Source organism: Homo sapiens, chromosome 4 (assembly GCF_000001405.40).
Source record: "Homo sapiens chromosome 4, GRCh38.p14 Primary Assembly".
In the NCBI taxonomy this organism is placed as follows: domain Eukaryota; kingdom Metazoa; phylum Chordata; class Mammalia; order Primates; family Hominidae; genus Homo; species Homo sapiens.
Window position 1 is genome coordinate 17,768,855 of NC_000004.12, and position 14,348 is coordinate 17,783,202.

At 44.2% G+C, this 14,348-nt stretch overlaps 1 protein-coding gene across 2 annotated transcripts in view; it reads right to left on the reverse strand.

Annotated features, from left to right (window-relative positions):
• The window catches only part of FAM184B (family with sequence similarity 184 member B), a 152,316-nt gene extending 139,549 nt beyond the window's left edge, over nucleotides 1-12,767 (reverse strand). For both annotated transcript variants that reach the window (NM_015688.2, XM_047450066.1), the window contains exon 1: nucleotides 12,305-12,767. In NM_015688.2, coding sequence (NP_056503.1) covers nucleotides 12,305-12,445 — 141 coding nt within the window. In that variant the 5' untranslated portion in view covers nucleotides 12,446-12,767. The remainder of the gene's footprint in view (nucleotides 1-12,304) is intronic.
• Between the last annotated feature and the right edge of the window lie 1,581 nt (nucleotides 12,768-14,348).

A 14,348-nucleotide genomic window follows, 5' to 3' on the forward strand; every position in this document is an offset into this window, starting at 1 on the left:
AGTGCAATGGCATTATCTCAGCTCACTGCAACCTCCGTTCCCGGGTTCAAGCGATTCTCCTGCCTCAGCCTCCCGAATAGCTGAGATTACAGGCATGCGCCACCACGTCTGGCTAATTTTCTGTTTTTAGTAGAGACGGGGTTTCTCCATGTTGGTCAGGCTGGTCTTGAACTCCCAACCTCAGGTGATCCACCCGCCTTGGCCTCCCAAAGTGCTGAGATTACAGGCATGAGCCACCATGCCTGGCCAGTAAATGTTTCTTAAATGAATGAAGTTAAATTATGCAATCTCCATACAACAGAATACTAACACAACCATTAAAAATTATGTTGAAGAGTTCAAGATTTATTGTGAAGGGGGAAAACAAAACAGGTTACACAATAGTTACATATAATATAACTATTTTTAAAAATATGTGTCTCCCTTTGCAGGGGAAATCATCTAGTAGGGTTTGCATAAATGTTAATAATTATATCACTATACTTATAGATTTAGGTTTCTTTAAAAACTTTTTCTTTTTGCTTATCTGTATTTTTGAGTTTTTTCAAAAATGGGTGTGTTTTCTGTCTGTGATTGATTCTCATTATTGTTTTTATTTTACAACTCTGGTTCCCTGAAGGAATTTGGATCTGATCAAATGGAGGCACCACGTCTGAATAGATCCCGTCATTGTGGTCAGGGGCTGGGAGTGACTAAGTAAGATATTAGCTTGGGAGGGAGTGGGTAAAGACTACTTGTCAGCGCTGGCCAGTTTCCTAGTGCACTTAAAACACTTGAAATGAGATGCTAGACCTTTTGAGTTCAAGGCCAGAACCTTGAATGAGGCCTCCCCACTCCCCGATAAGATGACCGTAGTTCCTGGTGAAATTTGATATATTACTTTAAGAGCAATGGGAGGTCTAAGAAGAATTTGGTTCACTTAGTCTATCAACAAATACTTGATGGGTGCCCACCACTTGCCAGGCACTGTTCTAGGCACTGGGGATATAGGAGAGGACAGAAATAGACAGAAATCCCTACCCTTAGGCAATAAACCAATAAAGGAAAAAAGGCAGATGGAGCTGAGATAGCCTCAGAGTGGGGCAGGGCAGCCGCATTAGTCTGAAGAGACATCTGAGCCAAGTTGGCTGAGTCTGGATCAGGCAGAGGAAACCAAGAGGACAAAGGCCCGCAGTGGCACAAGCTTGGCACAGGAGAAGATCTGAGAGAAGGGTGGTGTGGCAGAGGAAATGAGACTGAGAGGCGGACAGGAGCTACCTCAAGTGACCACAATAAAAAAATTTATTATAAGGTGAATACATTTTCTTCTAAGTGAAATTGGAATTGAAATTTCATCCCAAGGGAAGCCAGTGGTAGGTTTTAAACAGACGAATGACATGTTCTGGTTTATATTTAAAAGATAATTCTTGCCTTTGTGTGAGTGGGCAAGAGTGGGCCACAAGGCCAGTGCGGGCGTCATAGCAGGGGTTGGTGGCCAGAGGTGAAGGTGGCTCCGACTATGGTGGAGGTGGAAATGGAGAATGGAGGTGGACTTACTCATTTTGTTTATGAGGTAAAGTCACCAGGACTTGCCTCAGAACTAGTTGTTGTTGTTGTTGTTGTTGTTGTTGTTGTTGTTGTTTTTTCTGAGATGGAGTCCCACTCTGCCACGCAGGCTGGAGTGCAGTGGCGAAATATTGGCTCACTGCAACCTCCGCCTCCCGGGTTCAAGTGATTCTCCTGCCTCAGTCTCCCGAGTAGCTGAGATTACAGGTGCATACCACCAAACCCAGCTAATTTTTTTGTACTTTTACTAGAGACGGGGTTTCACCATGTTGTCCAGGCTGGTCTTGAACTCCTGACCTCAGGTGATCTGCCTGCCTCGGCCTCCCAAAGTGCTGGGATTACAGGCGTGAGCCACCGCGCCCGGCCAGAACTAGATTTTAACAGGAGACAGATCTGATTCAAGTTTTGTTTGTTTTCATTTTAGCAGCTTTATTGAGATATAATTCTCATACCAGGAGATCCACCCAAAAAGTGTACAATTCAATGGCTTTCAGTATCTTCAGAGTTGCGGAACCATCACCACAACCAACTTTAGAACATTCTCATTACTCCATAAAGAAACCTTGCATCTGTGAGTCACACTCCTCTTTGTCTAAGGAATGAAAGGTTTCTTTTTGTGCTTATCTGTTCCTCCGTTGATGGACATTTAGTTGGTTTCCACTTTTTGGCTATTGTGAATAATGTTTCTATGAACATTCTTGCGTCATTTCTCTTGGGTATATACCTGGGAGTGGAAAGATAAGCGTGTCCAAGCATTTGAGGAACTGACAGACCATTTTCCACAGCAGCTGCATCATTTTATATTCCCACTGGCAGTGTATGGGAATGCTGATTCAGTTTTAAGATCACTCTGGCTGCTGTGTGGAGAAAGGATAGGAGGAAGGCTGGGGCGAGGCAGGGGAGTTTTGGGGGCACTGTGGAAAGTGGAGAGACCAGAATGGTTATGCAGAAGTTCAGGGATCTGAGCAAGGTTCAAGGACATTCAACTTAAGGTGCACTCCCTACCGTTTACAGTATGGTGCAAAGATTCGTGAGCTCCTTACACAATGAATCACATCGCTAAATTAAAAGATTCCAACAGAGAGGGCTTGTTAAAACAGATCTGCCGTTTTCAAGTCTAGAGTCCTAAAGCAAACTGGCATGGAACTGCTTAAACATCTGTCCCCAAACAAGCTCCTGCAAGCAAGAGGATATTTTCAGAAAAGCGAGAGGAGCCAGTGGGTGCCATAAGATTTCCACACCTTTAAGCCATGAAAACACAGGGCTCAAGTGACAGCCTGTTGCTGAGGACTCTCATGGCAACAGGCATCACTCCTCCTGCCCTACAGCACTGCCCTGGCCTCTCAGCCCAGGGAAGAGCTGGCTTGTTTCCAAGTTCGACAACTGGGCAGCAGTCCTTGACTCTCTGAAGTTCCTCCAGTTCAGAAAGGGATGGGAAATGAACATCTGTCAGGCTTCAGATATGCCCCGTGTTGGGTTATAAGTGACTTTTCACATACATCCCTTATATTGGTAAAGCCTCACAACATATCACCAAGGTGGAAAATTTTCCCCCAACTAAAGATGAGGACCGTTGGCCCCTTTGCATGGGGAGGTCAGAAAAGGCCACTTTGAAGAGGTGGTGATTTAGCTGATACCAGCTACACAGGGATCCAGAGCAAGAACATTCCAAGTTTAACCCCAAAATTATTCATTTGCTCTCTAGATGTCTTCATTTTTATTCTTATTTAATTCTAATTTATATTCATTAGTATAAAGAAGGGTGAAAAGTTGCCCTCTAGAAACAAATCAAATTTAAATTCATTTCACGTATAACTTTGAATAGAAATGATAATTATTTTTCCTTATTATTTCTGATTTTAAACTCAGAGACTATTCTCCACTACATCTCCCAATCCTATACCCATCACCTCCCATCCCCCACCCCCAAAACAGAGACAATACTATTGTCTCTATTAATGTGTCTTAATAGATGGGTAAGGTTCTGGGACATGTGGAGACACAGTCCTCATGGTCTGGCTGTGCCACTGTGCAGGAAGCGGTGACTTTTGACCTCTTGAACTTCCCATGGAAGATGTATCTACAGATAAATACCACACTGCCACTCAAAAGTTTCCCACTCTCAGGTTAATATGCTTTCCCAAATAAAGGAATTAGTTTTCACTGTAACTCTGTACCAAATTCCTCAAAGCTAGACTCATCCTAAGATCTGTCTGTTGGATCTTTAGGATGGCCCAATAAATAACATTCCTCTTCCCCACTGATCTAACTGAAATGCAAGACCAAGGTGTGAGTCTGTTTTGAGACCAAACTATCACCGTTTTATCAACTAAAGTTAATACTGGAGACTGTGGCATATATCCACTGGCAAGCTGAATTCCTGATGCTTATCCATCCGGTCACAATGCTAGGCCAGGGCAGTTCTGCCTGCCAGGTGCACCTACCCCTGTAAAATTGATGTGTAGAAGACAATGTGTGCTTCTATAGGCAGATCACTCCAGGAGCAAGAAGGGAGGAAGAGGCAAGAGCTCTATAGGCCCAGTCCCTGCTCCAAACCTCACTAATTAACTATATATTCCCCTTTGCAGTGGAAAAAATAGTAAAAGTAATTGAGAGAGGCTATGGAAACATCAGGATGAACAGGGAAGAGACTTCCCCACCTCCCTCTCTTCAACACACACACATCCAGTGCTGGATTCTGCATGTCCTAGCTCTGTCAATATATATTAATACGATGTTGGACAAGAATACTGACACCCTCCCGGGTCTCAGATTCCCCCCTTCTCAATTAGAGATGGTTCTTCCCTCCCAGCCATGCAGAATTGCTGTGCACACAAAGGATGAGTAAGTATGTCAAAGGCTTTGCAAAGTATGCAAAACTAAAGAATCGTAAGGTGTTCCTAACATGGAGAAACTGCAACCACTTGACTCAGCATTTGCTCTTGCAGGGTCTCCTGACAAACTGGCAGAGATCCAAAACAAGAATGAGTGAGAAGGCCCCATGAGGTTATTCGACTCCTTATACTTGAGCTTGGCAGCTTCTGGCACTAAGACGCCTGCGCATTTCTTCCTGGGTACATTTCCTCTAGTTGGTCCAGATGAGAGGTAGTGCCCTGGTATCTGCTTCTCCTGTGTGTGGTCTGGGTTCTCGAGAGTCAGTCTTCAGTATATTTTCTTTTTTTCTTTTTTCTGTTTGAGACGGAGTTTCACTTTTGTTGCCCAGGCTGGAGTGCAGCGGCACAATCTTGGGTCACTGCAACCTCCGCCTCCCGGGTTCAAACAATTCTCCTGCCTCAGCCTCCTGAGTAGCTGGGATTACAGGCATGCGCCACCACACTTGGCTAATTTTGTATTTTTAGTAGAGATGGGGTTTCTCCATGTTGGTCAGGCTGGTCTTGAACTCCCGACCTCAGGTGATCCGCCTGCCTTGGCCTCCCGAAGTGCTGGGATTACAGGTGTGAGCCACCGCGCCCAGCCAAGCCTTCAGTTTGAGAGATGGTTCTTGCAGAGGAATACATGCTATCCCACTCATTTTCTTGTTTTAATACAAAAGAATCTTCATTAACACTTGTGTTTGGGGTAAGACATTCTATTATTCTTTGAAAATGGGAATTGGAGAATCCCTGGGTAGGAGGGATTCCAACCCTGCTGGGGATGAGGTTGTGGAGAGAGCTGCAAGATGAAAAACCAGGTAAGGCCGAGAGTGGCGGCTCACGCCTGCAACCCTAGCACTCTGGAAGGCTGAGGTGGGAGGATTTCTTGAGCCCAAGGGTACGAGGCCAGCCTGAGCAACATAGTGAGACCTCGTCTCTACCAAAAAAAGCCGGACGTGGCAGTGCACGCCTGTAGTCCCAGCTACTGGGGAGGCTGAGGTGGGAAGATGGTTTGAGCCCAGGAGGCAGAGGTTGCAGTGAGCCCAGATTGTACCACTGCACTGCATCCTGGGCAACAGAGCCAGACCCTGTCTCAAAGACAAACAAACAAACAAACAAACAAACAAAATCCAGCTGGAGAGTGCTGGGAGGGTACAAAAACTCAGAGAGGTGGACACGGGCCCAGAGGCAGGGCAGGGCTGGGGAAACCTGCCTGATGCTTTCAAGAACAAAAGCTTCCCAAAGGGTTTATTTACTGGGGAATGGATCTAGAACCTCTTCTTCCAAATACCTCCTCTGGGTGCATTTTACTGTTCCATCCTTCAATTGCTGCAAGCCAGTGGTTCTCAACCCTGTCAGCACATTGGATGCTCTTGAAGGGATTTGAAAAAAATACTAATACCTGTCACCATTCTCTCTTCTCCTTATAAGATGGGCCTGGGCCCTGTATGCTGTTTGGTTTGCTTGTTTTAAACTTTGACTATAATCTCAAACTTAGGGAATAACCGACAGAAAAAGAACAGTACAAAGAACATCCACATACTCTTTTACTCAGAATCGCCTATTTTACCCCATTTTGTCTCATGTATCTTTTATTCTATTTCCATATTCTGTTTTCTATATGATGAAATGAAATGCTTTGAGAGTAAGGCATCATACTTCCTTAAACGTAAGATCAGCTTCGATGTGCATTTCCTAAGAATAAGATATTTTCCTTTTCTTTTTTTTTTTTTTTTTTTTTTTGAGATGGAGTCTTGCTCTGTCACCAGGCTGGAGTGCAGTGGTATGATCTCAGCTCACTGCAACCTCCGCCTCCCGGGTTCAAGTGATTCTCCTGCCTCAGCCTCCTGGGTAGCTGGGACTACAGGTGTGCACCACCATGCCCAGCTAATTTTTGTATTTTAATTTTAATTTAATTTAATTTTATTTTTGAAATGGAGTCTTGCTCTGTTGCCCAGGCTGGAGTGTAGTGGTGCTGTCTTGGCTCACTGCAACTTCTGCCTCTTGGGTTCAATCGATTCTCCTGCCTCAGCCTCCCGAGTAGCTGGGACTACCGGTGCGTGCCACCACACCCAGCTAATTTTTTGTATTTTTAGTAGAGTCAGGGTTTCACCATGTTAGCCAGGATGGTCTCCGTCTCCTGACCTCGTGATCTGCCCGCCTCGGCCTCCCAAACTGCTGGGATTACAGGCATGAGCCACTGAGCCCAGCTAGAATAGGAAATTTTCTTGCATAGCCATAGTACAGTCAACTCCAGTAAACTTAACATCAATAGAAACACTTTTATCTTCTTTACCCAACATTTGTATTCCAGTTTTGTCAACTGACCCAATCATCTCTTGTAGCAATTTTTCTGGTCGGTATAGAATCCAATCTAGGACAGGCACTGCATTTAGTTGTCAAGTCTTCAACTGGTGTGTTTTTAAAAGCTCTCTGAGTGGAGGCTATTATCTTAAGTTAAATAACTCAGGAAGAGAAAGTCAAATATCACATGTTCTCACTTGCAAGTGGGAACTAAATAATGTGTACACAGGAACACAGAATGTGGAATAATAGACACTGGAGACTCCAAGGGTGGGAGGCTGCAGGGCGGATGAGGGATCATAAATAGCTCCTGGGTACAATGTATCCTATTCGTGTGATGGTTGCACTAAAAGTCCAGACTTCACTACCACGTATTGTATCCATGTAAAAAGCACATTTGTACCCCCTAAATCTATATAAATTAAAAATAAATACGTATTTTAGAATCTTTTGGATACATTGATATAGTAAACAAATAAATAAGGGCTCTGTAGGTGATTTTAATGGGCACCTTGGGCCTTGGGTCATTGTGTAAATAAATATTTACTACACTACCACATAGTGAGTGCCTACCAGGTGTAAAGTATTATGAATAAAATTAAGGAGCTTATTACTTTAAGGACATACTATCCACAAGTCAACTATAATATCATAGGGATAAGTATCATGAAAGAAATATTAACAAACCTATAGGAGGAAACTATAATTAAATTGAACAAGTTTACTGAGGATCTACTATGTGTCAGACTTTGTACAAACTGCTGGAGAAATGGATGGATAAGTAAATGTAATTAATACACAGTTAAAAATTAATTAACAATTTTTTTTTGGAATGGAGTTTCACTCTTGTTGCCCAGGCTGGAGTGCAATGGCACGATCTCAGCCAACTGCAACCTCCGCCTCTCGGGTTCAAGCGATTCTCCTGCCTCAGCCTGCCGAGTAGCTGGGATTACAGGTATGCACCACCATGCCCAGCTAATTCTTTTCGTATTTTTAGTAGAGATGGGGTTTCTCCATGTTGGTCAGGCTGGTCTCAAACTCCCGACCTCAGGTGATCCACCTGACTCGGCCTCCCAAAGTGCTGGGATTACAGGCGTGAGCCACTGTGCCCGGCCAGTTAACACAGTCTTAATCAGAAAAGTAAGGTTTTTAAAAGGTTTTTTTTTTAGAGGAGGTGGGACTCAAAAGATAAGCAGATTTTACTTTTAGAGAGGAAGACATTTCAGGTGAGGAAACTTCAAGAGGAAAGCTAGGTGAGTGCACAGTGGAGTAAGGAAAGAATCGTACTTCCCTGTGACCTGAGAATTGGGTGCGTAGGGATGTACTAGGAGATTGTGCTGAAGTAGGCTGGATAATGTATGGTGGTACAGTCACTTCGCAAAACAATTTGGCAATTTCTTAAAGAAGTAAAAGTTATCATACAACTTAAGAATTCTGCTCCTAGGTATCTACCCAAGAACACATAAAGACTTGCACGTGAATGTAATCTTCATAGCAGCATTATTCATAAAAGCCAAAAAGTAGAAACTCAAATGTCCATCAGCTGGTGAATGGATAAATAAAACACAGCATACCCATAGAACAGGATAAATAAGTAATAAAAAGGAACGAATTAATGATATGTGTTACAATGTGGATGAATCTTAAAGAATTAGATGGAAAGAATAATTTATTATATGGTTTCATTTAGAGATAATTTAAAGAGATAGGAAGTAGATGAATGGTTGCCTGGGGCTGTTGGTGGGAACAGAAACTGACTACAAATGGCCACAAGGGAAGATTTCTTTGGGGTGATGAAAATGTCCCTAAAACTGGATTATGGTTATGGCTTAATGACTAAAACAATGTTGAACTGAACAATTAAAACAGGTGAATTTTATGGTATGTAAATTATACCTCAATAAAGCTGTAAATATTAAAAAAACTGTTAATCAAAATTAGGCAGAAAGAAAATAGGAAGCACAATCTTAGAAATAAAAAATATAATTATTGAAATTCAAAAAACTTAATAGATGGGAAAAACTCTGGATTGGACAAATTATTTAGAAGACTGGCAAATTGGAAGGCAAGGAATTCACCAGGATGCAACACAAAGACAAAATCTTTTTTTAAAAAAATAACATCTCAGGATATAGATAGTGAGGCTTCCTCACTTACCTAATGGTAGTGCCAGAAAAGATAATGGAGGTAATGGCTAGGAAGCAATATTGCAAGAGAAAATCAGTAATAATTTTCCAGAATTAAAGAAAGCATATGCACCCCTGTAATCCCAGCACTTTGGGAAGCCAAGGCGGGAGGATTGCTTGAGCTCAGGAGTCTGAGATCAGCCTGGGCAACATAGTGAGACCCTGTCTCTACAAAAAATTTTTTAAAAATTAGCTGGGCATGGTGGCTCATGCTTGTAGTCCAGCTTGAGTATGGGAGGTCAAGGTTGTAGTGAGCTTTGATCACACCACTGCACTCCAACCTGGGTGACGTAGTGAGACACTGTCTCAAAGAAAAAAAAAAAAAGTACCTCCTCCTTTTGCAGAGGATAAAGATAAACTAACACCAAGACAGTTCTAGAAAACCTGCTGGACAGTAAAAATAAACAAAACAAATCTGAAATGTTATCAAAGAGAAAAGGCAGCTTATTTATAAGGGAATGAAAATTAGATTGGCAGTAGAATTTTTAACCAGCAACACTTAGTACCAGAAGACAGTGGAGTACTATCATCAGTGTGGTGTGGGAAAATAACTGTTCACTAGAATTTTATATCCAAATAAATCATCATACAACAGTGAGGGCAAAATTAAGACATTTCCAACAATGAATTCCCTCCCATACCAAGGCACCTACAGAAAGAACTATTAAAGGATGGACTTCAGCCAGAAGAAAAGTGAACCCAAAGGGAACACTGTAGATTCAAGAAAAAGAAATAGCAGAAAAATTGATAAAATGTCATAAATTTAATTAACTTTTAACTATAAAAACTATTTTTAAATTTAAGAAGTAAAAACAGATTGAATGCGGTGGCACATGCCTGAGCTTTGGAAGGTTGAGGCGGGAGGATTGCTTGAAGCCAGGAGTTCGAGACCAGCTTGGGCAACATGGTGAGACTCTATTTCTACAAAAAATTTTTGAAAAAGAAAATATTAGCTGGGGGTGGTGGTGTGGACCTGTTCCTAGCTACTTGGGAGTCTGAGGTGGGAGGATTGCTTGAGGCCAGGAGCTTGAGGCTCCAGTCAGCCATGACTGTGCCACTACACTCCAGCCTGGGTAACAGAGCAAGACCCTGTCTCTTAAACAAACGAACAAAAAAGTAAAAATAAAACTCTAGGCAGCAATAAAAAGATGGGAAGGAAGGGGCTGTTAAATGAGTAAAATATACAAAGTTCTTTCATGGGAAGAAACAATTACATACTAACTTTGTTAGCAAAAAAATCAGAGTTAAGTATGTATGTTGAAAAAATAAAAGACGATTCTGAGAAGAATAGAAATAAAACCTAAAGCTCTCAAACCAGCAGTGGAATATGTATCACTTTACTAATCTGATAGAAGGCAAGAATGGAAGAAAAAGAAGCAAGGAGAAAGAATGGTAAATGAAAAACACAAGATCTGATGGAAGAAGAGCCCAAATATATTAGTAATCGCAATAAATCCCTGTGGATTAAATTCATCTGTCAGAGACACAACCAAAATAAAACTCATAGAAAGATTAAATATGAAGGACAATATTTCACATACAAATAGTAGCCAAAAGAATGGTGGCCTATTAATAACAAAAACTTCTAATTTAAGCAATTAGCATAAAAATGGTAAACAGACGCACTACATAAGGATCAATTGCGATTTCTAATGCAGAATATACTTTAAGAAACACTGCCTACTGTGTGCCAAGAATCATGTATGCCTTCTATACTGCTGTGTTTTCAGTGCTTGGCACATAATAGGTGTGCCATAAATATTAATGAGTGGAATGATTGCTATTTTATATTGAAATGATCTGTTTATGTGTTTGTCATACCACAAGGGCAAGACCATATCTTACTAATTGTTATGCCATCAACATTCAGCATAGCAGCTGGCACATAGTAGGAATTCCATAAGTCCACACTGAATTCAAGGATCATCTCTTCCATAAAATCTCCCCTCACTGTTCCTCCCATACTGATTTGTCCTTTGTTTCTACTTCTATAGCACTCGTAATTGGAAACACCCAATTTAGCACCCAAGACATAGTATAGTCTTCTAGCTTTCACTCAATATTTCAAATCTTGTTTCTTTAAAACTATTTTAGATTCTTTGAAGATAGAGAAGATGCCTTGCACTGTGCCAAGTGCCTTTTCAGGTACTTGAATAAATACATGTTTTGGTTGATGTCACTATTTACATGAATGTAGGTTAGATCAATAGTACCAGCTATACATGTCAAGAACGCTAAGGGCTATCTCCAGTCTCTTTTTTCATTCCTTGACCAAAGAGAGCCCTGTTTGGAGACAGGCTCACGTGCAAAGAATGTGAAGTTAATGAGACAGGTGGGAGAAGGCGGCTAGTGTTCAATTCCAAGCCCCTGTGCTCTATTCCTCCTGGCAAAATAGTGAGGTTGGCGGGACAGGGGGAGGGGAATGTCTGTGATCCCACAAAAAAATGTGTGGGAAGTGAGAGGGAGATGGTGAGGAAAGAGAGCATGTTCCAGACGCTACAGGACAGACCTGGACCTGACCTCTCCCTGGCGGGCATGGCACCAGGAGTTTATTATGAGACCGAAAGGAAACCCCAAGGCAAACAGCTAAATTCATCCACTTGAAACCTTGTATAGGAGACAGTGAGGGATGTTGTTTTCCATCTAGACAAGGCACAGAGGGGAGTCTGTGACAAGGAGCTTCTAATTGGGGAGCTGCAGAGGGTTAACAAAGAGCACTGGTGGCATCTTTTTGCTGGTCTTCTTGAAAAAGACATAGTCTGGGAAGGTTCAATCAGAGCCCCCTGCACGAGGTAAGGAGGTGGGCTGGCTGACTTCCCTAGGTCCTTCCTAATCCCATAGTTATTTGGTGAATCGTGCTCTTCCCCATTTATGCTCCTACACACGTCTGCACCCAGTTTGATAGTAAGTCCCCTAGGCTGCATTCCAGGTTTAGTACGGTGCCACGCAAGCTGCTGGCACTCAACAAATGACGCAAATATTTGTTGAATGAAGGAATAAATGGATCAAGTGTTTAAATAGAGCCCACATGACCTCCCCAGCTGTAAAGTATGGCAGTTGAATGAAATCACAACATTCTAGGCACTTGAGCAAAGCTGGCGGGGACACACACACACACACGATTCACATTCCCACCTTGGAAAAGCACAGACCACCTGCCCAGCCAGCAGGCTGTGGGAGTTTCCTTGGCAAGGATCCTCTTTCTCTGCTGCTTTAGGATGGTGCCTCTAGAAGGTCAAGTCACCCAGATTTAGGACCGCTTCCCTTCCCGGTTGGCCTCCGAGACAAAGTTTCTGTCTGGATTTGGCCCGGGCCTCCCGGGAGGCGCATCCGCACTGACTCCCGGCTCGGGCGCCCCGGGCGTGCAGCTCGCTGGCCCGCTGCGCCCCACCTTACCTTGGTGAGCTGGGCGATCTTCTTGCACATTTTCACGTGCATCTGGGGATCACAGTCCATTCTCCAGCCGGCGCCACCGTCGGCTTTGGAGCCCTGGCAAGTGCCGGGCGGGTTAATTTTGCTGTTGAGAGCAGAAGCCATCGCTAAAACGCGCCCAGCACTCAGACTCTCTCGTTTTCTCCCTGCCCACCGTGTGCACGTGCGTGCGCGCGCGGGCGTGCGAGCGTGTGGGTTTCTCGGGAGAGGTGGCACTGCAGTCCCGTCGCCTGCACCGCCGCGTGGCCCCAGCTTCCCGAAGGTCTCCGCCTCCCGGGCCCACCCGCGCGCCCACCCTTTTTCCTCTCCTGCTGGTTCTCTGGCTGGCTGGCTCCGCGGGCACCCGCACCCTGCGGCGAGGCGTCGGCGCCCCGCACGTGCCGCTGGCGATCAGTCTGCAGTTCCCCAGCCAGTGCAGGTTTCGTGTGCAAGGGGAGAGCTTCCGCGGCTAGGAGCTGCCGGCCTTGGGGGGTTTGCGGTGGGCGGGCACTGCGCTCTTGGACACGTGGGTGGCGCGCGGCCCTGGACTTGGTGGCGACGGACCCTGCCCGAGGTGGGGATCCCAGGCTAAAGAGGAAGAAGAGCCTCCGGAGAGGGACAGGGCACAGTGACTGGCGGCCTCCGGAGAGGGACAGGGCACAGTGACTGGCGGCTCCCGAGTCTCCGAGCTGATAGCGGAGATGGCGGTGGGGGACGAGATGCTAAGAGAGGGGCGGGTAGGTGAGGGCGAGCCATCGGGACTCAAGGAGGTGTGGGATCCGGGGCGCACGGTGTGGGCCAGCGCCTGAGTTGCGCGAGTGCACAGCGGGGCTGGGGATGGTAGCCTTCCTTTTTGGATCTTGGAGAGGAGCCAGGACATTGCGGGAGGAATACCGGAGATGCCCAAAGAGGAGAAGCCAAGGGGATGGCAGGGTGCGGGTGACCGAAATCTGAGATGAGAAAGTGCGAAACGGGTAATGCGGGAAGCGGTAGGAACGCAAAGACAAAGTCGTTAGGGAGGTAGAAAGGATGGTGGCAGGTGCGGGAAAGGAAGAAGCAAAGAGGAATGGAGCAGTTAGATGAGTAAAAGATGGAACTGAAAATCTTAGCAAACCGAGCCCATTGAAAGTAAAGTGAGTCGTCCAAATCCACACTACTGGCCTTGGGCAGACTGGAGCCAGACTGTCAAGTTTTCGGATTCTGAGCTGGTGTCTGTTTAGTGTTTGGTGAGGGGAGAGGTTAGCGGGCCAAATTTCTTTCTGGCGTGTTCTCTGGTTTCAGACAGTGGACTTTAAGGGAAAGTGACAGCACCGTGATCAGCTTTTCCTAAAGCTCGAATAATAGGTCTTCATGATAGTTTGCATAGTGAATGTATATCATTTATACATTGCCTTTTATCAGAAATTTTAATAATCTTCATAAACCAAGCAAGCTTCAAAGGGTCTCAGAAACCACAGTTCCACCCATCCATACTGAAGGTAACAAAACCCATTTTTGTCGATGAGGAAAATTGACCCAGAAAATTTGTACCAAGTCAGGCAATTACAAGTAGAACTGTTTCTGAAATAGACATTCCTATTCTAGATTCTGTATCAAATGACCGGCCTCGGTTTTTGATTTCTAATTTACCATCTTAAGTTCTCTTTTTAGCACAACCCCTCCCTCCCCCAGTTCCTTTAGAAAACAGAGACAAAGCCTCTGAGGATGGGGGTCAGGGGGTCAGGAATCCACATTAAACAGCTCTCTGCTTAATTCCAAATTGTGTATTTAGAATATTTTCTGCAGGATCTTAATATATACTAAATTTTACAGGAATTCAACCACTGTGTAAACTAGAGGAAAATTAGCCTTTTTGGTCAAGAACTTTACTAAAAGTTGTTGACCATTTTGGAAAATCACATCAAGGGCCAGGTGGCTCATGATATTTGGTTGCCAATACAACACACTTATTTATTTATTTTTTTTATTTTTTTGAGACAGAGTTTTGCTCTGTCACCCAGGCTGGAGTGCAGTGGCATGATCTCGGCTT